This window comes from Homo sapiens, chromosome 5 (assembly GCF_000001405.40).
Source record: "Homo sapiens chromosome 5, GRCh38.p14 Primary Assembly".
NCBI classification, from domain to species: Eukaryota; Metazoa; Chordata; class Mammalia; order Primates; family Hominidae; genus Homo; species Homo sapiens.
In genome coordinates, this window is record NC_000005.10 from 154,711,551 (window position 1) to 154,738,957 (window position 27,407).

Sequence of the window (27,407 nt, forward strand, 5' to 3'; positions counted from 1 at the left end):
GTTGGTAACCCAAGTATGCTGGTCACCCCAAAGCTTCAGTTTCCTTGTCTTCTACATGAGGATAAAGAAAGGAAGGAGGAATTTACAAGAGGGAATCTTGGGCAAGTTGAATCATCTTTCTGAATTCTTGAATTACCTTCCAGGAATAAATAAGGAATAGATAAAATTCCTTATCTATTAAGAGGGGGTACAGGGATTGGACTATATTGTAGTGACAGCAGCTTTCTTTCTGTTCTCCAAACGTACCTGCTTCGGGGACCTTATACTTGGGGTTGGTTCTCTGTGCATTGAACACTCTTGCTCCAGCTCTTCCAATGTCTCGTTCCTTGTCATCATTCATGTCTCAGCTTTAATATCACCTCCCTAGGGAGGGCCTCCTGACCACATCATTGAAAATATCCATCCTCCATTACTTTATCATATCAACCTATTTCATTTTTGTGGAACTATTACTTATCTAATTGGCTTGTTTATATCTAGATCCCCTCTCTCCAGAATGTAAACTCAATAAAAGTAAGGTTCTTGACTTTCTTGTTCATTGATATGTCCCTAGGAACTAAAACAGAGCCTGACACATAATAGCTGCTGAATAATAATGCCTTTTGAATAATGAATGCCTGATAAATGACTGGATGAGCTATATAATCTCCAAAGTCTCTTTCAGCTTTAAACCCAAGATTATATACTCATTATAGTGAGTAGAGGATCACTAGCATGACTATACCATGCTACAGATGTGGAAACTGAGGCAGTGAGTGACTTGCCAAAGGCTTTGCAAACAGGAAAGTGGTGTGGTCCAACAGAACCGTATGGGAAGTCAAAAGCAGGAGACTCGGGTTTGGATCCTCACACCATCCCTCTCTGTCGACCTTCCTTGCAAGGGCTGTGTGAACTGGACAAGCCACTTCACCCCTCCAAGGACTCAGTTGTTCCACTGAAAAGAGAAGATGTACTAATAACTCTGCCCCAGGGTCACTGTGAGATCATGTAGTCTGAACCGCACTAAGCACTTTGCAGAGTGTTTTGCTCTTCCTTTAGCCCCAGCTTGTTTTCCAGGGTGGAGAGTGGAGGTGAGGAAGGAAGCCCAGGACCAGGGCTGTGGAGGAGGGGAGACTCAGCGGGTTGCCACCATTTGTTTACTCACCTGAGTCTCTCTGCCTCTAGCCTAGCTGTGCTCCCCGCTAAGGTAAAGAGGTGGGGTAGCCTTGCTCGGCCAATGAGCTGCCGTCGCTCTCTTAAAGGCACCCAGCGTCTGGAAGGAAAACTAGCCTGGCAACCTGGAGAGCTCCCGGGCCAGAGCCAGGAGGCAGCTGTGCGATCTGGATGTACCTAAACCCTCCAGGGCCACATAGTGACCCCAGGCCCTGGTCACTCCATGCTTTGGAGGGTGCTTTTGTCAAAGAGGCCTCCTTTCCCTCACCCAGAGCTGGATTTCCAAGAGGCTCCCATACCTAGCTGCCCTGGCAGACTCCCAGGGAGGAAAAACAGCGTGGCCTTGGCAGCTGCCCCGAGGAAGGAGCCCACAGGTGACAGGGAGAAGCCATTGCCATTCCCTGTCCTGGCCCCCTTCAGCAACCCTGGTGAGTCCTAGCACTCTGCGTTTCTTGAACCTCAGGACAGCAGGGTGTGGTAGGAAGATCCTTCTCCCTAGGGGCAGAAACCTTGGGTGCTGGTTCCAGCCCTGCTGTGTGACCCTGAGCGAGTCACTCCAGCTCTCTGAACCTCACATTCCCCATCTGGGAAAATGAGGAGCTCAAATTCCACTCTCAGCTTTCCTCTTCTATTGTTTTCCCTTGTCACACCCCTTGTTCTGAAAGATTTAAGTCTGTCAGCTGCACCTGTTACATAATAATTTGTTAATTGGTTTTCCTCTTCTATGTGAATTGTGGCCCTGTAATAGCCAATCAGTGTTTTTTGGTTAGCAGACACAAACCACTAAATTGATGCAGGTTTAGCCAAAAGCAGTGTAGTATTTTATTCTGTCTGTGAGATCTTATCTAGAGTCGATATTTGATTTTCATTTGACCTTTTGAAATATGAGAAATAGAGCATTTGTGAGTAATTTCCAGGGAATGGGGTCCCCAGGTGGGGAACTCCTAGATCTAGTTTGCATGGGGTTTATAAGGACACCAGCAAAATCCTGCCTTCACGCCCAAGCTGAGCTTTGGTCTCTGCAGTGCTGCCTCACACACAGGGTTCATTCTTGAAAGTGAAAGCTTTGGACTTAAAAATTTCCTATGTGGAGAGACTGCTCCCAGGAGTCCCCACAGTGAGTTTACCCCACCTCTAGCTGGCTGAGGCTAGGGAAGCCTGGTTGGGGGAGCTGAGGTCTCCCTCAGCCCTCTGTTAGGGTGTGGCCAGGAGAGTGATGGGAACAGGTAGGTATGAACACAGGGCCTGGAGGCCAGGAATATATGGTAGATACCGCTTGTGCTGAAAATCAGGAGCTAGGCCTGCAGTTCTGGTTCTGCACTGACTAGCTCTGTGACCTCAGGCAAATTGTTTACCTCTTTGAACTCAGTTTTCCCAGCTGCAAAATGGGGATTGTAATCTGGGCAATGCTTGCCTACCAGGATTGTTCTTATGACCAAACAAAGTCTGTTCCATGGAAGCTTAGATTCCACAGATTTTAAGATAAATTCAGATTTAAAAATACATTTTGGGATTGATGAGGTAAGGTAATGAATGTTTTGTAAAATGCGGCCTCTGTAGTAATTATTTTCTCCAATCACTGTGTGATAATAATTAATGTGATAAAAGAATTACTGATTATGATGGAATCGTGGCTGCTTGTTTAAATCCTTTTACTTTAAAAAAATACCATTTACTGGGACTTTTTGAAATGTACAATCATATAAACAAAAAGAAAGGGGAAATAGCTCACTGAGTCATGGTATTTTCTAACGACTCGTGGGATGGGAACCCAGTCCTGGAATGTGGCCCCATTGGAAGCAGCAGGATAATACAATGGTTAGAACAGGCATGTTGGAGTAGAGGATCTTGGGCTCAAATATATACTGTAAGACCTACTGATGACCCTGGGTGTAAGTCACTTTTCTTTTCAAAGCCCCTTCTGTGCAGTCACTTGAGCTTCAGCCACCCTGTTCTCTCCTTTCCTGCAGCTCCCTGCTGAGTAAATAAATCTCAGAGAATGTTGGTTTCAAGGGTTGTGGCAGCACCCTCTCTCGGGGTAGAGCCTATGGTAGAAGGAGTGGAGTGAAAGTGAAAGCCAAAACAGTTTCTAGGAATAGGGAACTCAGGCAGGTATTTGAGTAACAATGTGTGTGAGCGTTGTGTGCGTATACGCATGTGTGCATGTGCACAGGAGCTAATGAAATTAAAAATGAAGCCGGGTGCGGTGGCTCACGCCTATAATCCTAGCACTTTGGGAGGCTGAGGCAGGCAAATCATGAGGTCAGGAGTTTGAGACCAGCTTGGCCAACATGGTGAAACTCCGTCTCTACTAAAAATACAAAAAAATTAGCTGGGCGGAGTGGTGGGCACCTGTAATCCCAGCTACTCAGGAGGCTGAGGCAGGAGAATCGCTTGAACCCGGGAGGCAGAGGTTGCAGTGAGCCGAGATCACGACACTGCACTCCAGCCTGGGCGACAGAGCGAGACTCTGTCTCAAAAAAAAGAAGAAATTAAAGTTGAAGATTTTAAGGCCCCTGAAGGGTCATGTTAGCCAGTCCCCTGCTCTGGGGCAAGCCTCTCTTTTTTTTTTTTTTTTTTTTTGAGTCAGTTTCACTTATTGCCCAGGCTGGAGTGCAATGGCTTGATCTCGGCTCACCGCAACCTCCGCCTCCCGGGTTCAAGCGATTCTCCTGCCTCAGCCTCCTGAGTAGCTGGGATTACAGGCATGTGCCACCACGCTCAGCTCATTTTGTATTTTTAGTAGGTCAGGCTGCTCTTGAACTCCCGACCTCAGGTGATCTGCCCGCCTCGGCTTCTCAAAGTGCTGGGATTACAGGCATGAGCCACCGTGCCCGACCAAGCCTGTCTTTTAACCAACACTGAAACGTTGCTGCTGAACACCAGGGAAGACTCCTAAACGTTTTCCTTGGTAACCAGCCTTGGCATCTCAAAATCCTCCCAAGAGTGAATGCGGGGTGTGTGCGAATATTTTTTGAGTGCCTTGGGTATCTGAGTTAGAGTTCCAGGGACACCGAATGACCAAACCTTGGGGAAAAAATAGATTTGAAGTGAATGGACTAGGGAGCAGAAGGGATTGGGAATTCCTCCAATTAGGAACTTTAGTGGAGTAGCTATAGTTATTGCGTACCTACGATGAGCTAACAATTTTACTAGATGTTTTGAAGTCATTACCTTATTTATCCTCACAGTAGCCCATTTTACTATTCCCATTTTACAGGAGAGAGTATTGAAGCTCAGGGAGGCTACAAATCTTAAATAAAATTACTCAGACAAGCAGTGGCAGAACTCCGAATCAGGTCTTTATATGTCTAAATCTGGAGCCTGGGGCCCTTACCCCTTCCACCAGAAGTTACAAATCAGGCTAGACTGCAGTTCTCGGTTGTGTTTTGTTTGGCCTACACAGTGGTGTTTTACTATTTTTTGTTTCTTTTTGAGATGGAGTCTTGCTCTGTTGCCCAGGTTGAAGTGGAATGGTGCAATCTCAGCCCCCTGCACCCTCTGCCTCCCGGGCTCAAGCGATTCTTGTGCCTTAACATCTGTAGCAGCTGGGATTACAGGCGCCCGCCACCACGCCCAGCTATTTTTTTGTATTTTTAGTAGAGATGGGGTTTTGCCGTGTTGGCCAGGCTGGTCTCGAATTCCTGACCTCAGGTGATCTGCCCGCCTCAGCCTCCCAAAGTGCTAGGATTACAGGCATAAGCCACCATGCCCAGCCTTTTACTGTTTAAAAAGTTAGATGCCAACATTTTATTTTGTTTTGAGACAGAGAGTATCACTCTGTCACCCAGGCTGGAGTGCAGTGGAGCCATCTCGGCTCACTGCAACCTCCACATCCAGGGTTCAAGCGATCCTCCTGCCTCAGCCTCCCAAGTAACTGGGATTACAAGCATGCACCACCACACCTGGCTAATTTTTGTATTTTTAGTAGAGATGGGGTTTCACCATGTTGCCCAGGCTGGTCTCCAACTTTTGACCTCAAGTGATCCACCTGCCTTGGCCTCCCAAAGTGTTGGGATTACAGGTGTGAGCCACTGCACCCAGCTGATGGCAACATTTTAAAATGAGATCATTTGGCCAGGCACAGCAGCTCACACCTGTAATCCCAGCACTTTGCGGGGCTAAGGCAGGCAACTTGCTTGAATCCAGGAGTTTGAGACTGACCTGGGCGACATGGCAAACTCCGATCTCTACAAAAAATTCAAAAATTAGCCGGGCGTCATTGAGTGCATCTGTTGTCCCAGCTACTCAGGAGCTGAGGCAGGAGGATTTCCTTGAGCCAGGGAGGTAGAGGTTGCAGATAGCCAAGATCAAGCTGCTGTACTCCAGCCTGGGTAAGAGAATGAGACCCTGTCTCCAAAAAAAAAAAAAGAAAAAGAAAAAAAAGGAGAGAGAGAGAGACAGACTATTTAATATAAAAATCTAGAGTCTAACATGTCTTTAAAAACCAGAAGAAAGATCTGGCACTATATGTCCACATTCTCATATGCCAACAACCAACTTGAGCTGCTGCTTTTAAACAGGGCTTGTGACATCTAGTTTGCTACAGTCCCTACCATTCCCTACTATTCTACCCAGCCTACTTTCTCATTTGTGATGCCAGCCTGGCCCCACAAGCCTGTGGTTATTCAACCTCTGCATTGCACTCTACTCCTTACTTACATAGCTGGGCCCTGGTCCTAGTGCTGGCTTGAACTGGCTGTGACATTAGGTAAGTTATGGCACCTGTTTGGGTTTCTGCTGTAACCTGGGCTAGCCATACTCTGAAATAACTTCCTAAGTGGCTTTCTGCATTGCTTTGCAAGAAACCACAAGTCTCCAACACATCTTGGCTACCTAGCTAATCTGAGTCCATGTAAATTATACCAGAAGTGACTGGTGTTATTCACTCTCTGTCACCATCACTTCACTGCTATTCTTTGTAACACAGGACATTTAGGGACAGGTAAGGCCTGGTGATATCAGTACTGGTAGGATGCCAATTCCCAATACTTTGATCAAAAAGTCTGACTTCCACGTGCCTCCACTCATCTGTTCCAGGAGGCCTAATTGAACCCTGAGGAGCTCTACTGAGATTTCAGCATCTGGGTGTCCTATTCTGACCCCATTTTTGCTACATGAGAGAAAATGTGTAGCCCAGGTGAGAATGTTCTCTCTTTCTCTGACACATATACACACACACACACACACCTATGGGTTAGAAATAGCCTTTCATTTTCTTTTTTCTTTTTAAGAGTCAGTGTTTCACTCTGTCACCCAGGCTGCAGTGCAGTGGCACCTTCTTAGCTCACTGCAGTCTCAAAATCCTGGGCTCAAGGAATCCTCCCACCTCAGCCTCCCTAGTAGCTGGGACTACAGGTGTAGGCCACCATGCCCAGCTAACTTAAAATTTTTTTTTTTGTAGAAACGGGGTCTCACTTTGTTGCCCAGCCTGGTCTCAAATTCCTCGTGTCAAATGAACCTCTTGCCTCAGCCTCCTGAGTTGCTGGGATTATAGGCAGAGCCACCTCACCAGCAGAAATAGACACCTTTACAGGTCTCTGCATCTAACTAGTATCTTACTTGGGTTTCTGAGATCAGATCTTTAAAGCCATAGAATATCAGAGATGGAAATGTGGGTGGTGCCTTATCATCTATTCTTTTGTCTTTCTCTCTTTTCTTTTTTGTTCATTGATTTGTTTGAGATGGGGTCTTGTTATTTTGCCCAGGCTGGAGTGCAGTGGCGATTCACAGGTATGATCCCACTACTGATCAGCATGGGAGCACTGGAGTTTTGACCTGCTCCATTTCCAACCTGGGCCAGTTCACCCCTCCTTAGGCAACCTGGTGGCCCCCCACTCCAGGGAGGTCACCACATTGATGCCAAACTTAATACAGACACCTGATTAGCATATTGTGCTATACCCCAGAACTCTTGGACTCAAGTGATCCTCCTGCCTAAGCCTCCTAGGTAGCTGGGACCAGAGGCATAGGCCATTGTGCCCAGCTAGATCATCTAGTACAGTAATAGCAAATAGGCTCCACTTCATTTGCCAATTCCAGTCAACAAGTAGAGTGTTGAAAAGGCTTGGAAGCTACCTACGGGCATGGAATGATCAGACTCTGAGATCTCTCAACAATGTCTGTTGTGGGCATGGCAAGGGGGAATGGCAGTATCTATATTAGAAATTTGCTATCCTTGAGCCAGCCAATCTCCTTCTTACACAGATATGAAAGCTGGTGTGGGAAGGGGTGATGACTTGCCCAAAGTCATGTGGCAAGGCAAGGCAGAAGTAGATCCAGAAGCAGGGTCTCTCTTGACCTTGAAGCCATGATTGCTCCCACTGTATTAGCTCAGAGAAGAAAACTGAGGCTGGGAAGGGCAATGACTGAAGCAAGATTAGGACCTAGGAGTCCTGGGAAGCCTGGCTGGGATAGGGGCTAAGAAATTCAGTTCGGTGCCCCTAGCCTGAGCCCTGCCAGCCTGGCCTATTGGCCTCTGCTCCACTTCTCAGAGTCCCTTTACTCCTGTCCCAGTTTCCTGTCTCATTTTCCTCAGGTTCAGAGAGTGCACATCGAAGCAGAGGGGCCTCTGGGGATCCTAGGCCCTACATACCCTCTTTTGGCAGCCTTCAGCAAGCTCCCAGCTCCCTCTCTTCTGGAAGAGAAGTCCTAGGACAAGGGTTTTTAACCTTATTGATGTCATGGATCCCTTGACAATCTGCGAAACCTATGGGCTCCTTCTCAGAATATTTTTAAATACCTAAAATACATAGGATGACAAAGGAAACCAATCATCCTGAAATACAACTATCAAAATAAAAGAAATTGCAATAGCAATATATGATTCTTTATTAGTACATTAAAAATGAAGTCTAGTGGCAGATATAACTATTGTAGCCAGGCGTGGTGGCTCACGCCTGTAACTCCAGCACTTTGGGAGGCCGAGGTAGGTGGATCACATGAGGCCAGGAGTTTGAGACCAGCCTGACCAACATGGTGAAACCCCATCTCTACTAAAAATATAAAAATTAGCTGGACACGGTGGCACATGCCTGTAATCCCAGCTACACAGGAGCCTGAGGCATGAGAATCACTTGAGGCCAGGAGGCAGAGGTTGCAGTGAGCCGAAATTGTGCCACTGCACTCCAGCCTGGGTGACAAAGTGAGACTCTGTCTCAAAAAAAAAAAAAAAAAGATATAACTATGGTAATTTTAAAGTAACACTGGCCGGGCATGGTGGCTTATGCCTATAATCCCAGCACTTTGGGAGGCTGAGGCAGGTGGATTGCCTGACCTCAGGAGTTTGCGACCAGCCTGGGCAACAAGGTGAAACCCCGTCTCTACTAAAATACAAAAATTAGCCAGGCGTGATGGCATGTGCCTGTAGTCCCAGCTACTTGGGAGACTGAAGCAGGAGAATTGCTTGAACCTGGAAGGCGGAGGTTGCAGTGAGCTGAGATCGCACCACTGCATTCCAGCCTGGGCAACAGAGCGAGACTCTGTCTCAAAATAATAATAATAATAGTAATAATAATAATAATACTAACCATAGATGGTATTTTTGAAAGATCTGCAACAACCATAATGTGATATTAAAATATCTGTGATTTCTTTTGGTGACACAGTCACAGGAACTGCCAATACTGCTGTGGGTCATTGCCTACATTTATAACTAAACAAAATGCTGACTTGAGTTACAGGTTAGGGAAAATAGAGTGGTTTGTAATGGTTCATAACTGGAAAACAGAGGCTAGGTGTAGTGGCTCACACCTGTAATTCCAACATCTTGGGAGGCTGAGGTAGGAGGATCACTTGAGCCTGAGAGTTTGAGACAAGCCTGAGCAACATAGGGAAACTCTATCTCTAAAAATTTAAAAATTAGCCAGGTGTGGTGGCACATGTCTGCAGTCCCAGCTGCTCAGGAAGCTGAGGTGGGAGAATCACTTGAGCCCAGGAGCTTGAGGCTGCAGTGAGCTGAGATCGTGCCACTGCACTCCAGCCTGGGCAACAGAGAGAGACCGTGTCTTGGGAAAAAAGAAAAGAGAAGAAAAAATTCTTTCCTTCCAAGTTCAGAGATACCCTGAATTCTATTTGTGGACCCAGGCTGAGAACCTTTGTTTTGGGAGGTTCATGCAGGAGTCTGCTGGGCCAGTGGTTTGCAAACTGCGGGCTACGGAACCCTGAAGATTCTGGAAGTGTCAAGGAAGCTGTCAAACAGTGGATGAGTTGAGGTAGCAAGCAGGAAAACCATCCAATCAGAGAGCCTCTGAGTCTGCATCCATAATCTCTGCTTCAGCTTGAGAAGGTTCTTTTCTATTTGAGTTCATTTCAGTGATTCATATGATTCCATTGTCTTAAAGAAAAAAAAAAGAGGGGTGCTGGGCACGGTGGTTCACACTTGTAATCCCAGCTCTTTGGGAAGCTGAGGTGGGAGGATCACTAGATCCCAGGGGTTGGAGACTTGCCTGGGCAACATAGTGCAACCTCGTCTCTAAAAATATATATTTTATAGATTAGCCCGGCATGGTGGTGCACGTCTATAGTCCCAGCTACTCCAGAGGCTGAGGTGGGAAGATCCCTTAAGCCTAGGAGGTCGAGGTTGCAGTGAGCTATGATAGCACCATTACACTCCAGCCTGGGCAACAGAGCGAGACTCCGTCTCAAAAAAAAAAAAAAAAAAAAAAAAAGTGTCAGGGATTCCTCTGTTTGTTTGAATGTTGAAAACGTTCATGTGGCCCCACCCACAGCTTCATATGACATAAAGGAAAGCCGAGGCTGAAAGAAGTGAAGGGGTCCTACGTTACCGTTACCATTTGGTGGCAGGTTTGGGGGTGTAGGGGAGGCCAGGGAAAGGAGCTGGGAAGCAGCTGGGCACAGGTGAACTTCCTTGTACCTCTTCCTGCCAGCCACTGCAGGGAAGCACCTTGTGTGGCTGAGTGCTGGGCCAAGAGTCAGGAAACTGGAATTCAACATCCTAGTTCTGCTGCTAAGGTTTCTCATTTGCAAAGTTTCTCATCTCAAGTTTCTCATTTGCAAGACAGAGATGATAATGCACAAGTGTTGAGAGAACCAATCCAGAGAAGGCTGTAAGGAACATAAGGCTGCGGTTAAAGGGGTTGTAATGTATTTGTCTCCACGGCCTGGCACTCTTTTCTCCATGCTCCTGGAATGCTTTCTCTCCATACTGACAAACCAGATATTCCCTGTATCCTATGACAGTATCATCCCATTCACCCAGCACAATGACACAGTCAGATTTATGGTTGAACGTCCAGTCACTCAGTCTACCAGCTTACCTCCTAAATATCTCCTCTTCACTGTTTCCACTGCTATGGCATTATCTTTGGCCTTCATTTCTCTAACAGCCCCCAATTTCTCTCTGTGCCTCAGGCTGCCTTCCATGGAGCCAAAACACGTTCTGACCACGTCTTTCTTCTACTGTAAAGTCCTTAGTGACCCCTCACTGTGTGCAAGGCCAAGTCTAGCCCCTGCAGAATATGGCAACCTAGACTCCGCATGATCTGCCTTCAGCTTCCCCGCCCTCTCCCTTTTTCCAGCATCCCTACCTCCTCCTGCAGGGAGGCTGCTGGACTCCTTTTGCTGTCTTCCCTCCCTGCCTTTTTCATTACCTAGACAATAGTGCAACACCAGGGAGCTATGAGAAGAGGAGATTCAGGAGCCTGGGAATATTGCTCTCCCCAGGCTGGTGGGTGGGCAGGAGGAAACTGAACACACACAGGACTCAGGAGTTCTGTTGATAGGTTAGAGAACAGGTGTGACCCTGCCCTCATTCTGGGCCAGACAGGGGTTATTTTCAGAGACCAGCCGGTAGCACATGGAGAGGTCACCTGCACAGTCAGGAAGAGTCTACCATTTCTATACTTACAGGAACCAGATCACCAGGAACAGGATATAGCCAGGCAGTGGAGAATTCATAGAATCCCTCATTCTTAGAATGTTAGAGGTGAAAGGGACCTCATGCATCTTTCCTAGGTTTTTTTTTTTTTTTTTTTTGAGACGGAGTCTCACTCTATCGCCCAGGCTGGAGTGCAGTGGCGCTATCTCAGCTCACTGCAACATCTGCCTCCCAGATTCAAGCGATTCTCCTGCCTCAGTCTCCTGAGTAGCTGGAACTACAGGTGCGTACCACCATGCCCAGCTAATTTTTGTATTTTTAGTAGGGATGGGGTTTTATCATGTTGGCCAGCCTGGTCTCAAACTCCTGACCTCAGGTGATCCACCCACCTCGGCCTCCCAGAGTGCTGGGATTACAGGCGTGAGCCAGCACACCCAGCCTCTTTCCTAGGTTTTAACTCTTCTCTGCTTCAGACAAAAAAGTAAAGTCCAGAGAAGGGAAGTGACTTGGCCAAGGTCATACAGTGAGTTGAGGTAGAGCCTGAACGAAAGCCAACATCTGATTTTCTTCCCAACTTTCATGTTCTGGGCTCTGGCCTCTGGACTCTCACCAGGAGTCTGAGTAACTGATCCAGGACTGATTTACCAACAATGGGTTAATGTGTCACTGCTGGGATTTGCAAGTGCCAGCTCTAACAGGGGTTGTCAATGCCTTAACCCTAAGGTTTTCAGCTGGGGAACAGTGATGGGTTACAAGTGTGCTGAGATATAGAACCCTTGGGCCATAAGTGGCCAGGTGGAGACTGGGGCAGCCAGAGCCCACGGTCCTGCTGGGATAGTCACCTTCAGGCCTCAAACAGCTTCCACATAAGTTTAGCCCCACGGGTATCCAAGTATTACCATGGACTGGGATGGGGAAAGTTGGGAAGCACTGTGTAAACCCTAAAACATGAGTTATTTTAGGGGTGGTATAGGCAAAGGTGGAGAAAGGGAGAGTTTGAAGATACAGGTTCTAGTTCTGGCTGTACCACTTCCTTCTGACATATATTCTAGGGGGGAAAATAATGAGAAAAAATAAAAGGTACCATTTTGTCTCATTTAATCTTTCAAACAGTTCTATAAAAGTAGGTGCTGTTATCAACTGCATTATACAGATGAGGAAACTGAGTCAGGGAAATTAAGAGACTTAGCCAAGAGCCCACAACCAGGAAGTAGTATGCCAGAATTGAAACCCAGGTCTGTCTTTATTTGGATTCTGTGCTCTTAATTACTCTGCCATATGGACTTGTTGCGGAACAAGTGGGGAGAGAGATGGGGCCCTTCAGCCCCACTCCCCTGGCATGAGGGCTACTGATTCTCCCTCTACTCTGGATTGCCAGGCTTTAGGGAGGCCTTCAGCAGGGGGCAGTAGGGTCCAGAGGACCCCTAAGCAGTGAGGGCTATCCCCCAACCCTGCCTTCATGGGTATAAGATCATTCTCAGACTGTAGTGAGTATTTTGAATCCTGCCAGAGGCAACCATGATCTTCCAGGAGTGGAGTGTCCAGCCCTCAGAACGGGAAAGGTGGTGAGATTTCACTGGTTGTTGTGATACCCTAAAACTGGTAGAAAGAAAGCTGGAATAAGGCACCTTGTTTACTATACTAATCCTTCCTTAAACCATAACTCCTATTTACAGATCCAGTTACTCTGCCAAGCACTTTATTCACATTGCCTCATTGAATTTTTACAGCAGCCCTATCTTGAGTAGCTGCTGTTATTATCATCTGTTCTTTACTGGAGGAGGAATCTAAAGCTCTGACTCAGCTAGACTGCTGACTTTTCAGTGGACCTTAGTCAAGGGACTTTTAGGCAAGTCTTCTCTGGGTCCAATATCTAGGACTACAGAAGTAATTCCTTCCCTGCCTAGAGCATTGGATTATAAAAGTGAAAACAATTTACAAGCTGTTATCCATTTGTTTAAATGGTGTCTATTGAGAACTTAAAGCAAGGAAGAGGCCCTGGCACTACAGAGAAAAATAAAGCGTAATCCTGCCCATGGAAAAATGCAAGATAAATGTTAGGTAAACAAGGCTTTCCATTTCCAGTAATTATGGACTAGAAGACTGCTCCCCAACTTCACTGGGAATTTTTTTTTTTTTTTTTAGGACAAGGTCTCACTCTCTCACCCAGGCTGGAGTGCAGTGGCACAATCATAGCTCACTGCAGCCTTGAGCTTCCCAGGCTCAGGTGATGCTCCCACCTCAGCCTGCCAAGTAGCTGAGACTACAGGTGCACGCCACCATACCCAGCTAATTTTTGCATTTTGTGTATAGATGGGGTTTCGTCATGTTGCCCAAGCTGGTCTCAAACTCCTGAGCTCAAGTGATCTGCCCACCTTGGCCTCCCAAAGGCTGGGATTACAGGCATGAGCCATCTCGCCTGGCCACCACTGGGAATTATTAAAAGAGCTAAACAGCCAGCCCTGTTGCCTCACACCTGTAATCCCAATACTTTGGGAGGCTGAGGCCAGCCTGGGCAATATAGTGAGACCTTGTCTCTACAAAAAAACTTTAAAATTAGCCAGGTGTGGGCTGGATGCGGTGGCTCACACCTGTAATCCCAGCACTTTGGGAGGCTGAGGTGGGTGGATCATGAGGTCAGGAGTTCAAGACAAGCCTAGCCAAGATGGTAAAACCCCGTCTCTACTAAAAATACAAAAATTAGCCTGGTGTGGTGGCGGGCGCCTGTAATCCCAGCTACCTGGGAGGCTGAGGCAGAGAATTGCTTGAACCTAGAAGGCGGAGGTTGCAGTAAGCTGAAATCGTGCCCCTGTACTCCAGCCTGGGTGACAGAGTGGGACTCTGTCTCAAAAAAAAAAAAAAAAAAAGGTGTGATGGCATGCATCTGTAGTTCCAGCTACTTGGGAGGCTGAGGTAGAAGGGTTGCTTGAGTTCAGAAGGTTGAGGCTGCAGTGAGCTATGATTATGCCACTGCACTCTAGCCTGGGTGACAGAGTGAGACTATGTCTCAAAAGAAGAAAAAAAAAAGCTAAACAAAATAAATGTGTGTGTGCATTTGTGTATTTGAAGGCATTAGAGAACTACCAAAGCAACAAGGACCTAAGGGGTCACGATTCCAGAGGGATAAGAAGCCCCATATTTACTTACTATTTTCCTGCGCAAGGGATATGCTCTTTCTCAAGAAAAGGCTAAGAAACTGAGCAGAGAGTCTGGTAGTGTTATGAGGCTGGGGAATAGAATAAAAATTGGATTTCAGGATCTACCAAGAAGGAGTGTCCCTAATAAATATTTCAGGTCTTCTTCTTCTTCTTTTTTTTTGAGTTGAAGTCTCGCTCTGTCACCCAGGCTGGAGTACAGTGGTACAATCTCGGCTCACTGCAACCTCTGCCTCCCAGGTTCAAGTGATTGTCCTGCCTCGGCCTCTTGAGTAGCTGGGATTACAGGCTCCCGCCACCACACCAGCTAATTTTTGTATTTTTAGTAGAGACGGGTTATCTCCATGTTGCCCAGGCTGGTCTCAAACTCCTGACCTCAAGTGATCCGCCCACCTTGGCCTTCCACAGTGCTGGGATTACAGGTGTGAGCCACCGCACCTGGCCAACATTTCAAGTCTTCAGCTGGAGCTACCAAAGGGCAACACCCTAGGAGTAGAGGTGAATTAGAATTAGACCAGCCCTGACAAAACTGAAGTCCAGCACCCCATCAATTCAATCCCTTGTAGTACTTAGGTGTAAATGCCTAGTAGAAGCAAAAGTTAAAATATTTCTGAAGGAAGATAATACCATCCAGGGCCTCAGGTTTTCCTATAATTTTTTCATATACAATACCTGCTATTCGATCAAAATTTACCTGACATTTCAGTAGACAAAACCACATGGCTGAAAACCAAGAGAAAAAAGTAGATAATAGCAATAGGCCCATAGGAGATCCAGATTTTGGCATTTTGAGGCATGGACTTTAAAAGATATGTGATTAATATAGTCAAGAAATTACATGACAAGATGGAGAATTTCTGCATATAAGTACAATCTATCACGGAGTATCAAATGAAAATTTAAGCCTCAAATACAGCATCCGAAATTAAGAACTCAATAGATGGATATAACAGCATATTAACACAGCTGAAAATAAAAATTAGTAAACCAGAAAGCCAGTAGAAAGTTGTATTAGTCTGTTCTCATGCTGCTATGAAGAAAGACCTGAGACTGGGTAATTTATAAAGAAAAGAGATTTAATTGACTCACAGATCCACATGGCTGGGGAGGCCTCAGGAAACTTGCAATCATGGCAGAAGTCACCTCCGTACAGGGCAGCAGGAGAGAGAATGAGAACCAGCAGGGGAAATGCCAGATACTTTTAAAATCATCAGATCTTGTGAGACTCACTCGTTATCACGAGAACAGCATGGGGGAAACCGCTTCCATGATTCACTTACCTCTACCTGGTCGTGCCCTTGACATGTGGGGATCATTATAATTCAAGGTGAGATGTGGGTGGGGAAACAGAGCCAAACCATATCAAAAGTATTCAGCACATATAATACATATTTTATATGAAATGTGGTTAAAATTTCCACATATGTATAATTGAAGTCCCATAGAAAGAGAGGGAGGGGAGGGGAGAAGAGATGACAGAAGAGACACAATGCAAAGAGAAATGAAGCCAGAAGCAATATTTGATGTTGGTCAATAATTAAGAATCACTTAAAACCCTAAACAGAATAAGTAAATAAAACAGAACTACGTAACTAGGGCCTATTATGATATAACTGCTGATAGTAAAAGATAAGGGGAAATTTTTGAAGGGAGCAATAATAAAACGGATAGTGTCTCCACAGAAATAATGAAAGCCAGAAGACAAGGGAACGATATGTTTAAAGTCATAAATGAAAATAAATCATATCCCATTAGAACTAGAGAGTAGAATGGTGGTTACCAAGGTGTAGGGTAGTTGTGGGGGAAGGGAGAATTGGGGTGGTATTGGTCAAAGGCTACAAAATTTCAGTTAGATGGGAGGATTCAGTTTAAGGAATCTATTACACAATGTGGTGACTAAAGTTAGCAACAACATATTGTATCCTAGAAAAATGCTAAGAGAGTGAATGTTGTGTTCTCACAAAAATAATGACTATGTGAGCTAATGTTAATTAGCAAGATTTAATTATTCCACAATGTATATATATTTTAAAACATCATGCTGTACATGATAAATACATACAACTTTATCTGTAAAATTTTTAAAATGATAATAAATAAAAGAAATCTTGCCTGTAATCCCAGCACTTTAGGAGGCCAAGGTGGGCAGATCACTTGAGGTCAGGAGTTTGAGACCAGCCTGACCAACATGGCAAAACCCTGTCTCTACTAATAATAGAAAAATTAGCCGGGCATGGTGGTGTGTGCCTGTAACCCCAGCTACTCAGCAGGCTGAGGCAGGAGAATCGCTCAAACCCCGGTGGTGGAGGTTGCAGTGAGCTGAGATCACGCCACTGCACTCCAGCCTAGACAACAGAGTGAAACTGTGTCTCAAAAGAAAGAAGAGAAAATAAATCTTGTGTGAGCATAGGCTAATGGCTCTCAAGTTGTAATATAAGTATGAATCACTTGGCAGGGGGTGTTAAAATTTTGGATTCCCAGATCCCACTCTGTAGATTTAGCCCCTCTGGTGTAGGGCCAAGGAACCTTCTTTTAACAAGCAGCCTGCGGATTCCGATGCAATGAGTCTACAGTAGATTGTCTGCCATGATGGTTGCAACAATTCTTCCCATTCGTGTACCCACACTCCTTTGTAGTGTGACTTTGCCACTCTTTCAATCAAGAGATAGAGTCCATTTTTCCTCCTTTTGAATCTCGGCTTATCCTTTGGCTTACTTTGACCAATAGAGATCAGTTGACATGATATTATGGGGCATCTGAGCCTTGGTCTTCAAGAGGACTTGCGTTTTCGGTATTCACCCTTTTGGAACTCAGCTGCCATGTAATTAAGTTGAGCCTATCCTTCTGGGAAAATGGAGAGAGAGGCAGAGCCGACAGCCAACACCAACCACCAGACACAGTATATGAGTGAGGCATGGATCTGTTTGGGTCCAACCAGGAGAGAGAAAGCACACAGTACTTTGAATATGGAAAGTTGAGTATGAAGAATTATTAATTATAATAGAGGATTAGAGTAACGGGATTGACTAATAAGAAGGAAAGAGAACACTGAAGACTATAGGAATAGCAGATATGAGGAACAGCCACTATCTTTAGGGTTGACATAGAACACCCAAGGAAGAGCTCGTTCAGGGCTGAGATCTAGATCTTTTTGGAAAGGGCCCACTAAATGGCAGAGAAGTCACTGTGGTGCCCTGCCAGGTCAGTGGATCTGGTAGAAATCATCCTATGAAACTTACTGGAAATGGGCCCTCTCAGGTGCCAGGGAAAGTTGTTCATAGGGAAATGTCTCTTTATCGACATTTGCTACATAAGCACTTGAGAGGGATTCTTGGGGAAGCTGCTAGCTACCAGATGCTGCTGGCCATGGTGCCCTGCAGGAGCCTGAAGCTCAAGAAGCCATTTGTGCTGCAAGAGTTGGGCATGGGGGAAGCACAACACTGCAGGAGCCTGGCGAGCCAGCACACAGTAACCAGGAAACAAAACTCTTTTCTTCCTTTCAGCCGAAACTGCCACCTTCCAATAATTCACCAAAATGACTAACACAAAGGGAAAGAGAAGCACCTAATACATGTTCTCTAGGTCTTTTAGGAAACCTGGAGTTGTTCCTTTGGCCACATACATGCAAAGCTGTAAGATGATATTGTAGACATTGAGAGAATGGATACTGTTCAAAAAGGAATACCCCACAAATGTTACCATGGCAAAACTGAAGAGTCTACAGTGTTACCTAGCATGCTATTGGCCTTGTTGTAAACAAACAAGAGCAAGATTCTTGCCAAGAGAATTAATCTGCCTATTGAGCACATTAAGCATTCTAAGAGCTGACATAGCTTCCTGAAAAGTGTGAAGGAAAATGATCAGAAAAAGAAGAAAGCCAAAGAGAAAGGTACCTGGGTTCAGATGAAGCACCAGCCACTCCACCCAAACACACTTTGTGAGAACCAATGAATAGGAGCCTGAGCTGCTGGAATCTATCCCTATGAATTCGTGGCATAATAGGTATTTAAAAAATACCTCTAGACTGTAAAAAGCAAATAGACAAACAAAGAAAAAACTTCAATGTATTCCCAGCACACTATACTGACAAAGCTGGGCATCCTGCCAGCTGTCAAAGGAAAAAGGCATTTCAGGGGCCCAGATCCATTTTAATAGAGCAGGCAAAAAAGTAAATTTGCAACTAAGGCAGTAAATCAATAACCAGGACAGGCCATCTTGGACCTCTAGTCCAAGTCAATCTGCATGACTACAACTGCATGAGTGACTTTAGTAAGATACTGGCAGAAAGAACCGTGTAGCTGAACCCAGCCGAAATTGCCACAGATCAGAATTATGAGCAAATAAAATTGCTCATAAATTTTAAGCCCTAAATTTTGGGGTAGTTTGCTTACACAAAATATTATAACACCAATATTGCAAGCAACCTGGACTGTTGTCCGTTTCCTACTTTTATGACTTTCTTTGTGCTGTTCCTTCTGTCCAAAGAAACATTATTATTATTATTTTTTTTTGAGGTGGAGTCTTGCTCTGTCGCCCAGGCTGGAGTGCAGTGGTGCGATCTCGGCTCACTGCAACCTCTGCCTTCTGGGTTCAAACGATTCTCCCACCTCAGCCTCCCGAGTAGCTGCGATTACAGGGAAACAGTCTTGATTATCTCTACCAGATGGATGTATTTTCCTGCAACTGATTAATTAACTTTTTTTGACCTATAGCACACATGTAGAAAAGTGCACAAATCTTAAATGTATAGCTTGATAGATTTTCACCAAGTGCTTATATTCTTTTTTTTTTTTCGAGACGTTGTCTTGCCGTGGTCGCCCAGGCTGGGGTGCAATGGCGCAATCTCGGCTCACTGCAACCTCTGCCTCCCGGGTTCAAGTCATTCTCCTGCCTCAGCCTCCCGAGTAGCTGGAATTACAGGTGCATGCCACCATGCCTGGCTAGTTTTTTGTATCTTTAGTAGAGACAAGGTTTCACCATGTTGGCCAGGCCGGTCTCAAACTCCTGACCTTGTGATCTGCCTGCCTCGGCCTCCCAAAGTGCTGGGATTACAGGTGTGAGCCACCATGCCCAGCCAAGTGATTATATTCTCGTAGTCTATAGCTGGGTGCCTCTCATACTCCCATCTAGTCACTAACCATGCCCCTACGGGTAAGCACCATTCTGACTTTTTTTTTTTTTTTTTTTTTTGAGACAGAGTCGCGTTCTGTTGCCCAAGCTGGAGTGCAGTGGCGTGATCTCAGCTTACTGCAACCTCCACCTCCCTGGTTTCAAGCATACCACCACACCTGGCTAATTTTTGTATTTTTAGTGGAGACGGGGTTTCACCATGTTGGCCAGGCTGGTCTTCAACTCCTGACCTCAGGTGATCCGCCTGCCTTGGCCTCCCACAATGTTGGGGTTACAGGCGTGAGCCACTGTGCCTGGCCTATTAAAGGTTTTTAAACATCAAAATATAAAATGATATGCCTATCAATCATAACCGTGTGAAAGGAGAAAAAAAACACACCCATGCATAGAGTAAAAAGATACTAGAAGAAAAAAAAGAGTTGATATGGTTGATGGGTAAAGGAAATAAAAATGATTTTTCTTCTTGACAATCTGTCTCTCCCAATAATTATGTAATGACCATGTGTAACTTTTATAATCAAAAGAAACATTTAATCCTATTGATCTTTAAAGTCCTGTTCAAATGTCACTTCCTCCAAGAGCCTTAGCATAACCGTATTGCTGTAGCCAGCCAATGCCTTCCTCTATTTATACACCCCCTAGAGCAAAAACACATTCCAGAAGGAGCACAGTACCTTTCTTAGAGAAGGTGCTCTCAAAATGTCTGATCCTTTCCCTGCAACCATAGACATTTCATTAGCAGCTCACATTTCTCAAAAGAGCACCCCAACATGCCACTAAGACAGGCAGGAATCTGAAGCTGGATTGCTGTCTCCATTTTCTACTTGAAAACACCTGATGCTGAAAGAGGTTAAGTAATAGTCCCACTGTCATTCGGCAAATCATTGGTAGAGGCATTTAAAATAGCTCATTCAAGAAAGATGAGCCAGCGGGGTGGCTCACGTCTGTAATCCCAGCACTTTGGGAGGCTGAGGCGGGCAGATCACGAGGTCAAGAGCTTGAGACCATCCTGGCCAACATGGTGAAACGCTACTGAAAATACAAAAATTAGCTGGGTGTGATGGCCCGCGCCTGTAGTCCCAGCTACTCGGGAGGCTGAGGCAGGAGAATTGCTTGAACCCAGCAGGCAGAGGTTGCAGTGAGCCGAGATCACGCCACTGCACTGCAGCCTGGTAACAGAGTGAGACTCCGTCTGAAAAAAAAAAAAAAAATTAGCCAGATGTGGTGGTACTTGGGAGGCTGAGGCAGGAGGATCACCTGAACCCGGGAGGCGGAGGTTGCAGTGAGCCGAGATGGTGCCACTGCACTCAAGCCTGGGCGACAGAGCAAGACTCTAGCTAAAACAAAACAAAACAAAACAAAACAAAAAAAAAAAAAAAAGAAAGGTGAATCTGGTGCAAACCATATAATTTACCAATTATAGTCTGAACAGAGCAAAGAGGCAGGGATGGAGATTAAGGAAAAAGCAAAAATTTGGTAACGTGGCCTTTGTATTACCAGCTCTGTAATTTTGAGTGAGCTTATTTACCTTTCTGAACTTCAGTCTTCTATCTGACTCATTGAAGGGATAACAGTGAACTAATAACCAGAATAGCAAATAGGATCCAACTCTGATGAACTAATGGTGGCTACCTTGAGTACTACAGGGGGAAAGATTCTGAAGACACATGCAGCCTTCATGGGAAAAATTGCTGTGATTAATAATTTCTGCCATGAGCAGGGAATCTGAAATTGATGTTATATTTGTTAGATATTGGTCTTTCCTGGACAGATTGCTCTTCAAGATCTTTTCCAGCCCTGTGTTTGGAATTCCCAGATTTAGATCTATTCATGTGTCTGGTGGGCAAAATATTCATCCTATAGGAAATCTTCTTAATTCCAAAGGGGAAGGAATTTTAATTATCTTTTAAAACAATAGACCTTGTCTCCAGCAATGGATGTGATATATATTTAAATAATCATCCTTAAGGCTCTCAGAGCTCCTTGGAGATGGAAATGTCTGCATATGAAGTGTTAATTATACCACCATAATCATTCTTTTGAGATAAATTATATCATTAAAATTACCATGTTTGACATCCTTCCCTGTCTGCACATTGCCCTACCCTCAGATTGAAGTTGGTCCTGGGAGGAGGGTATGTGTCCTGGTTGGCTGTAATGGGTGGTGGAGTTAGTAAGTAAGGCGAAAAAGGTGAGTGTCTCATAAAATCCCAGTCTCAGGGTCCCCAGGATTGTCTCATTCATTGGCTCCGTCTGGACCCACCTGGAATGTTATGTGGCTTGGGATTTCTGGACTAAGGTTGACCCTTGTCTTATCTTTGAAACAAATATACTATAGCCACCAGGAGAGTGGTAGGGGTATTGTTTGACCAATTTAAGTAACACATACATTATAAATTCGTGGCTATTGAAGGAAGCCATGAACTGGTTGACAAGTTACGACACCGTGTTGGTCTAGCAGCATAGCCAGGCTGTCAATAACACAGGCTTTGGCATCAGACTGCTCTGAAATCGGACATAGCTCTGACATTTCTATTTTTTATTTTTGTGTAGAAATGGGGGTCTGGCTATGTTGCCCAAGGTGGTCTCAAACTCCTGGCTTTAAGTGATCTTCCTGCCTCAGCCTACCAAAATGCTGGGATTACAGCTATGAGCCACTATGCCTGGCCAGCTTTGACATTTCCAAATGAGTTTGCACAAGCTATATAACCTCTGTTTTTTCTTTTATCTTTTCTTTCTTTCTTTTTTTTTTTTGGAGACGGAGTCTCACTCTGTTGCCCAGGCTGGAGTGCAGTGGTGCCATCTTGGCTTACTGCAACCTCTGCCTTCCAGGTTCAAGCTATTCTCCTGCCTTAGCCTCCTGCGTAGCTGGGATTACAGGTGCCTGCCACAATGCCTGGCTAATTTTTGTATTTTTAGTAGAGACGAGATTTTGCCACGTTGGCCAGGCTGGTGAGGAACTCTTGACCTCAGATGATTCGCCCACCTCGGCCTCTTAAAGTGGTGGGATTACAGATGTGAGCCACCGTGCCTGGCCATAACCTCTATTTTTTTGTCTGTAGAAAGAGTTTTAATAATAGTACCTAACTCAGCACTTTGGGAGGCGGAGGCGGGTGGATCACCTGAGTTCGGGAGATCGAGACCATCCTGGCTAACATGGTGAAACCCTGTCTCTACTAAAAATATAAAAAATTAGCCAGGCATGGTGGCACATGCCTGTAATCCCAGCTTCTTGGGAGGCTGAGGCAGGAGAATCACTTGAACCTGGGAGGCAGAGGTTGCAGTGAGCCGAGATCACGCTATTGTACTCCAGCCTGGGCAACAAAAGTGAAACTCCCTCTCAAAAAAAAAAAAAATAGTACCTACCTCAAAAGGTTAATATGTGAGATAATTCATGACGAGCACAAGTATCTTGCACTACATAGGAAGTATTACTATTATTATATTGAGATTAATTATTAGCATTGATTTCAAATTATATACAAAATAAAGCTTCAAAAACATGAAGTCAACTTATGTCAGTTTTGTGGACATCAAGACAGAGGCTGAAATAGGATGAATTTTAATTGTTTTAATAAGTAACAAAATGTTCCCTAAAAAAAGTTACAGAGTACAGATTAGCAAAAGGGACAAAATCAGCACTCAGAAATAACCACTGGTAATCTTTTGGTTTATGTCCTAATGATAATAATTTACATATATTAGAATAGAAAAGGACATTTGACAAAAATAGTATCACACTGAACAGGCTGTTTTGAAACCAGCTGTTTTTCAGTGAGTAAAGGGGGCGTATACAGGCAAATGTATTGTTTTGGTTTTGGGTTTTTTTAATTAAAAAAATTCCTTTTCTGGTAAGAGATACATAAAATTTACCATGTTAACCATCTTTAAGTGTACATTCAGTAGCGTTAAGTATATTCACGTTGTTGGAAACAGATTTCCAGAACTTTTTTATCTTGCTAAACTGAAACTCTGCACCCATTAAAAAACAACTTCCCTTTTCCCGCTCCCTCCAGGCCCTGGTAACCAGCATTCCACTTTCTGTTTCTATGAATTTGCTGACTTTAGATATCTCATATAAGTGGCATCATACAGTATTTGTTGTTTTGTGACTGGCTTATTTCATTTAGCATAATGTCTTCAAGTTTCATTCATGTTGCAACATATAACATGATTTCCTTCCTTTTTAAAGCTGAATAATATTCCATGGTATATATAATATATACCACATTTTGCTTGTCCGTGTATCCATCAATAGACATTTGGGTTGTTTCCATCTCTTAGCTATTGTGAATAGTACTGCTATGAACATAGGTGTACAAGTGGCTCTTTAGGACCCTGCTTTCAGGTCAAACGTGGTGGCTCATGCCTGTTATCCCAGCACTTTGGGAGGCCAAGGCGGGCAGGTCACCTGAGGTCAGGAGTTCAAGACCAGCCTGGCCAACATGGTGAAACCCCGTCTCTACTAAAAATACAAACATTAGCCAGGCGTGATGGGTGCCTGTAATCCCAGCTACTCGGGAGACTAAGGCAGTAGAACTGCTTGAACCTGGGAGGCGGAGGTTGCAGTGAGCTGAGATCGCACCACTCTCCTCCAAGCCTGGGTGACAGAGCGAGACTCTGTCTCAAAAAAAAAAGAGACCCTGCTTTCAAATCTTTTGGATATACACACAGAAGTGGGATTGCTGGATCATATGGTAGTTCCATTTTTATTTTTATTTTTATTTATTTATTTATTTATTTATTTATTTATTTTTTCTGAGATGGAGTTTCGCTCTTGTTGTCCAGGCTGGATTGTAGTGGCGTGATCTCGGCTCATTGAAACCTCCACCTCCAAGGTTCAAGCAATTCTCCTGCCTCAGCCTCCTGAGTAGCTGGGATTACAGGCACGTGCCACCATGCCCAGCTAATTTTTTTTGTATTTTTAGTAGAGACAGGTTTCGCCATGTTGGCCAGGCTGGTCTCAAACTCCTGACCTCAGGTGATCTGCCCGCCTTGGCCTCCTAAAGTGCTGGGATTACAGGCATGAGGCACTGCACCTGGCCAAGGTAGTTCCATTTTTAATTATTTTAAAAAGTTTTACATTTTTTGACTTTATTATTATTTCTAGAAATGGGAGTCATCACTCTGTCTACCCAGGCAAGAGTGCAGTGGCACCATCTTAGCTCACTGCAGCCTTTAATTCTTGGGCTTAAGTGATCCTTCTGCCTCAGCCTCTCAAGTAGCTGGGACTACAGGTGTTCGCCACCATACCCAGCTAAGTTTTTTAATTTTCTTTTTTTTTTTTTGAGATGGAGTCTTGCTTTTGTTGCCCAAGCTGGAGTGCAATGGCGTGATCTCGGCTCACTGTAACCTCTACCTCCCAGTTCAAGTGATTCTCCTGCTTCAGCCTCCCGAGTAGCTGGGATTACAGGCGTGTGCCACCACACCTGGCTAATTTTTGTAGTTTTAGTGGACACGGGGTTTCACTATGTTGGCCAGGCTGGTCTCGAGTGCCTGATATCAGGTAATCCACCTCCCTCAGCCTCCCAAAGTGCTGGGATTACAGGCATGAGCCACTGTGCCCAGCAAGTTTTTAAATTTTTTGTAGAAATGGGGTCTCACTATGTTGCTGAGGCTGGTCTCCAACTCCTGGCCTCAAGGGATCCTCCTACTTTGGCCTCCCAAAGTGCTTAGATTACAAGCTTGAGCCACACCCTGCCTGGCCTATTTTTATTTATTTATTTATTTATTTATTTATTTATTTATTTATTTATTTTAGACAGAGTCTCACTCTGTTGCCCAAGCTGGAGTGCAGTAGCATGATCTTGCCTCACTGCAACCTCTGCCTCCTGGGTTCAAGTGATTTTTCTCCCTTAGACTGCTGAGTAGCTGGGATTACAGGTATGTGCCATCACGTCTGGCTAATTTTTGTATTTTTAGTAGAGACAGGGTTTTACCATGTTGGCCAGGCTGGTTTCAAACTCCTGTCCTCATGTGATCAGCCCGCCTCAGCCTCCCAAAGTGCTGGGATTACAGATGTGAGCCACCATCCCTGGCCCTATTTTTAATTTTCTGAGGAACTTCCATATGGTTTTCCATGGTGGCTGCACCATTTTACATTTCCACCAACAGTACACAAAGCTTCCAGTTTCTACACATCCTTGCTAACTCTTGTTATTTTCTGGTTTGTTTTGATAGTAGCCATCCTAATGTGTGTGAGGTGAATAAATGTGTTGTTTTTTTGGTTTTTCAAGACAGAGTCTCCCTCTATCACCCAGGCTGGAGTGCAATGGCACAATCTCAGCTCACTGCAACCTCTGCCTCCCAGGTTCAAGTGATTTTCCTCCCTCAGCTTCCCAAGTAGCTGGGATTACAGGCGTGCACCACCACACCGTGCTAATTTTTGTATTTTTAGTAGAGACGGGGTTTCACCATGTTGGCCAGGATGGTCTCAAACTCCTGACCTCAAGTGATCTGCTTGCCTTGGCCTCCCAAAGTGCTGGGATTACAGGTGTGAGCCACCGTGCCTGGCCAATGTGTTGTTTTAATGCAATTCTAGGGGGAATGTTTAAAGTACTCAAAGGAACTAAACTTCCTTTTTGGTAATCTAGAAGCATGGAATTTTTCTCTTTTTTTTTTTTTTTTTTTTTTTGAGATGGAGTCTTGCTTCGTCACCCAGGCTGGAGTGCAGCGGTGAGATCTCAGCTCACTGCAACCTCCGCCTCCCGGGTTCAAGCAATTCTCCTGTCTCAGTCTCCCGAGTAGCTGGGACTACAGGCACATGCCACCACGCCGGCTAATTTTTTTGTATTTTTAGTAGAGACGGGATTTCACCTTGTTGGTCCGACTGGTCTCGAACTCCTAATTTGAAAGACAGTGATTAGTTCTGTAATGCTGCAGCAGGTCAACCCTTGGTACTTGTTTTCTCCTCAAAACTCTCTTCCCCAAGCTTCTGCCAAGTCTCTCTCTCTCTTTGATCTCCTCTGATATTCCCGGTTCCCCGCCCCTGCCCCTCCTTGTGAATGAGCTATCCTCATTGTTCCAGCTTTCCAGCTCTGCTCTAACCACCCCTCCTCAGCCCTCCCCTTCATAGTCCCTGAACATTCCCCTTGCTTCACTCACACTGCTGGGTCTGGAGAACTCTCAGATCTTGTCTTCATCTCCGGGCCCTCAGTTAACCTCCTCCAGGAACCTAAGGGACAATGGGAGGCCCCTTAGGTTCTGTGGGCCTCCCTAAGACAAACAGAATGGGTCAGAAGCACAGCACAGACACATCTAAGTCACACGCCCTCAGCTCCACGATCTGATGGACACAGACACAGTAGGTAAACCATGCGTGTGTGGGATACTGTTTGCTGCCATTCCCTAAGCAGTCTTGGATCCCAGAGGTGCATCTCACCACACTGAATATCACCTTATTGTAGAGCTAGCTGTACATTCCTTTTCTCACAACCTGAGCCCTACATGCCAGCCAACATCTTAATCTGGACCCTCAGAAGAAACAGCAAAGCCAGGTGCGGTGGCTCATGCCTGTAACTTTGGGAGGCTGAGAGGTGGGTGGATCGCCTGAGGTCAGGAGTTCGAGACCAGCCTGGCCAACATGGCGAAACCTTGTCTCTACTAAAAACACAAAAATTAGCCAGGTTTGGCAGCACATGCCTGTAATCCCAGCTACTCTGGAGGCTGAGGCAGGAGAATCGCTTGAACCTGAGAGGCGGATGTTGCAGTGAGCCGAGATCGGGCCACCGCACTCCAGACTGGGGGACAGAGCGAGACTCCGTCTCAAAAAAAAAAAGAAGAAACAGCAGCTGTTACAGCAATGCCCATAGACTGCTGGCTCCAATATGATGACTTTCTGAGGGCTTTTCTTGAGGCTTTAGACCATACATTATTTTTGATCCAAAATGCTGACCCCCTTATGAGATAGGACACAGATGTACCATTTTACCATTTAAAAAAATGGAGTTAGCCAGGCATAGTGGCTCATGCCTGTAATCCCAGCACTTTGGGACGCTGAGGTGGGAGGATTTCTTGAGCCCAGGAGGTCAAGGATACAATAAGCTATGATCGTGCCACTGCACTCCAGCCTGGACAAGAAAGAAAGACTCTATCTTAGAAAACAGAAACATAAAACAAAACAAAAATAAATA

The 27,407-nt window shown here is 45.1% G+C and overlaps 1 protein-coding gene and 2 pseudogenes across 11 annotated transcripts in view, besides 3 other annotated features; 2 read left to right on the top strand and 1 right to left on the bottom strand.

Annotated features, from left to right (window-relative positions):
• Positions 1–27,407, top strand: part of LARP1 (La ribonucleoprotein 1, translational regulator) — a 134,627-nt gene that overhangs the window by 28,572 nt on the left and 78,648 nt on the right. For 4 of the 11 annotated variants that reach the window (NM_015315.6, NM_001367717.1, XM_047417042.1 and 1 more), the window contains exon 1: positions 1,293–1,580. The exons of 5 other annotated variants lie outside the window; for them this stretch is intronic. In NM_015315.6, coding sequence (NP_056130.2) covers positions 1,376–1,580 — 205 coding nt within the window. In that variant the 5' untranslated portion in view covers positions 1,293–1,375. Of the gene's footprint in view, positions 1–1,292; positions 1,581–6,192; positions 6,293–27,407 lie in introns of those variants that run through there. 2 more of the 11 variants (XM_047417040.1, XM_047417041.1) reach the window with 2 other exon arrangements.
• Positions 838–1,384: an enhancer, noted in NCBI's record as "H3K27ac-H3K4me1 hESC enhancer chr5:154091948-154092494 (GRCh37/hg19 assembly coordinates)". NCBI's record gives its function as "activates a minimal SCP1, AML or CMV promoter by ChIP-STARR-seq in primed H9 embryonic stem cells {active_cell/tissue: H9 hESC(primed)}" and the evidence as "EXISTENCE:reporter gene assay evidence [ECO:0000049][PMID:30033119]".
• Positions 4,036–4,205: an enhancer, noted in NCBI's record as "experimental_83490 CRE fragment used in MPRA reporter constructs". NCBI's record gives its function as "activates a minimal promoter by MPRAs in K562 erythroleukemia cells, with activity observed for the introgressed 5:154095231 or rs17116390 variant allele {active_cell/tissue: K562}" and the evidence as "EXISTENCE:reporter gene assay evidence [ECO:0000049][PMID:34662402]".
• Position 4,121: a transcriptional cis regulatory region, noted in NCBI's record as "Neanderthal adaptively introgressed variant 5:154095231 (GRCh37/hg19 assembly coordinates) or rs17116390 in the experimental_83490 CRE". NCBI's record gives its function as "modulates activity of the experimental_83490 enhancer by MPRAs in K562 erythroleukemia cells {active_cell/tissue: K562}" and the evidence as "EXISTENCE:reporter gene assay evidence [ECO:0000049][PMID:34662402]".
• RN7SL803P (RNA, 7SL, cytoplasmic 803, pseudogene) lies at positions 6,834–7,139 on the bottom strand (annotated as a pseudogene).
• On the top strand, positions 17,639–18,161 carry RPL21P57 (ribosomal protein L21 pseudogene 57; annotated as a pseudogene).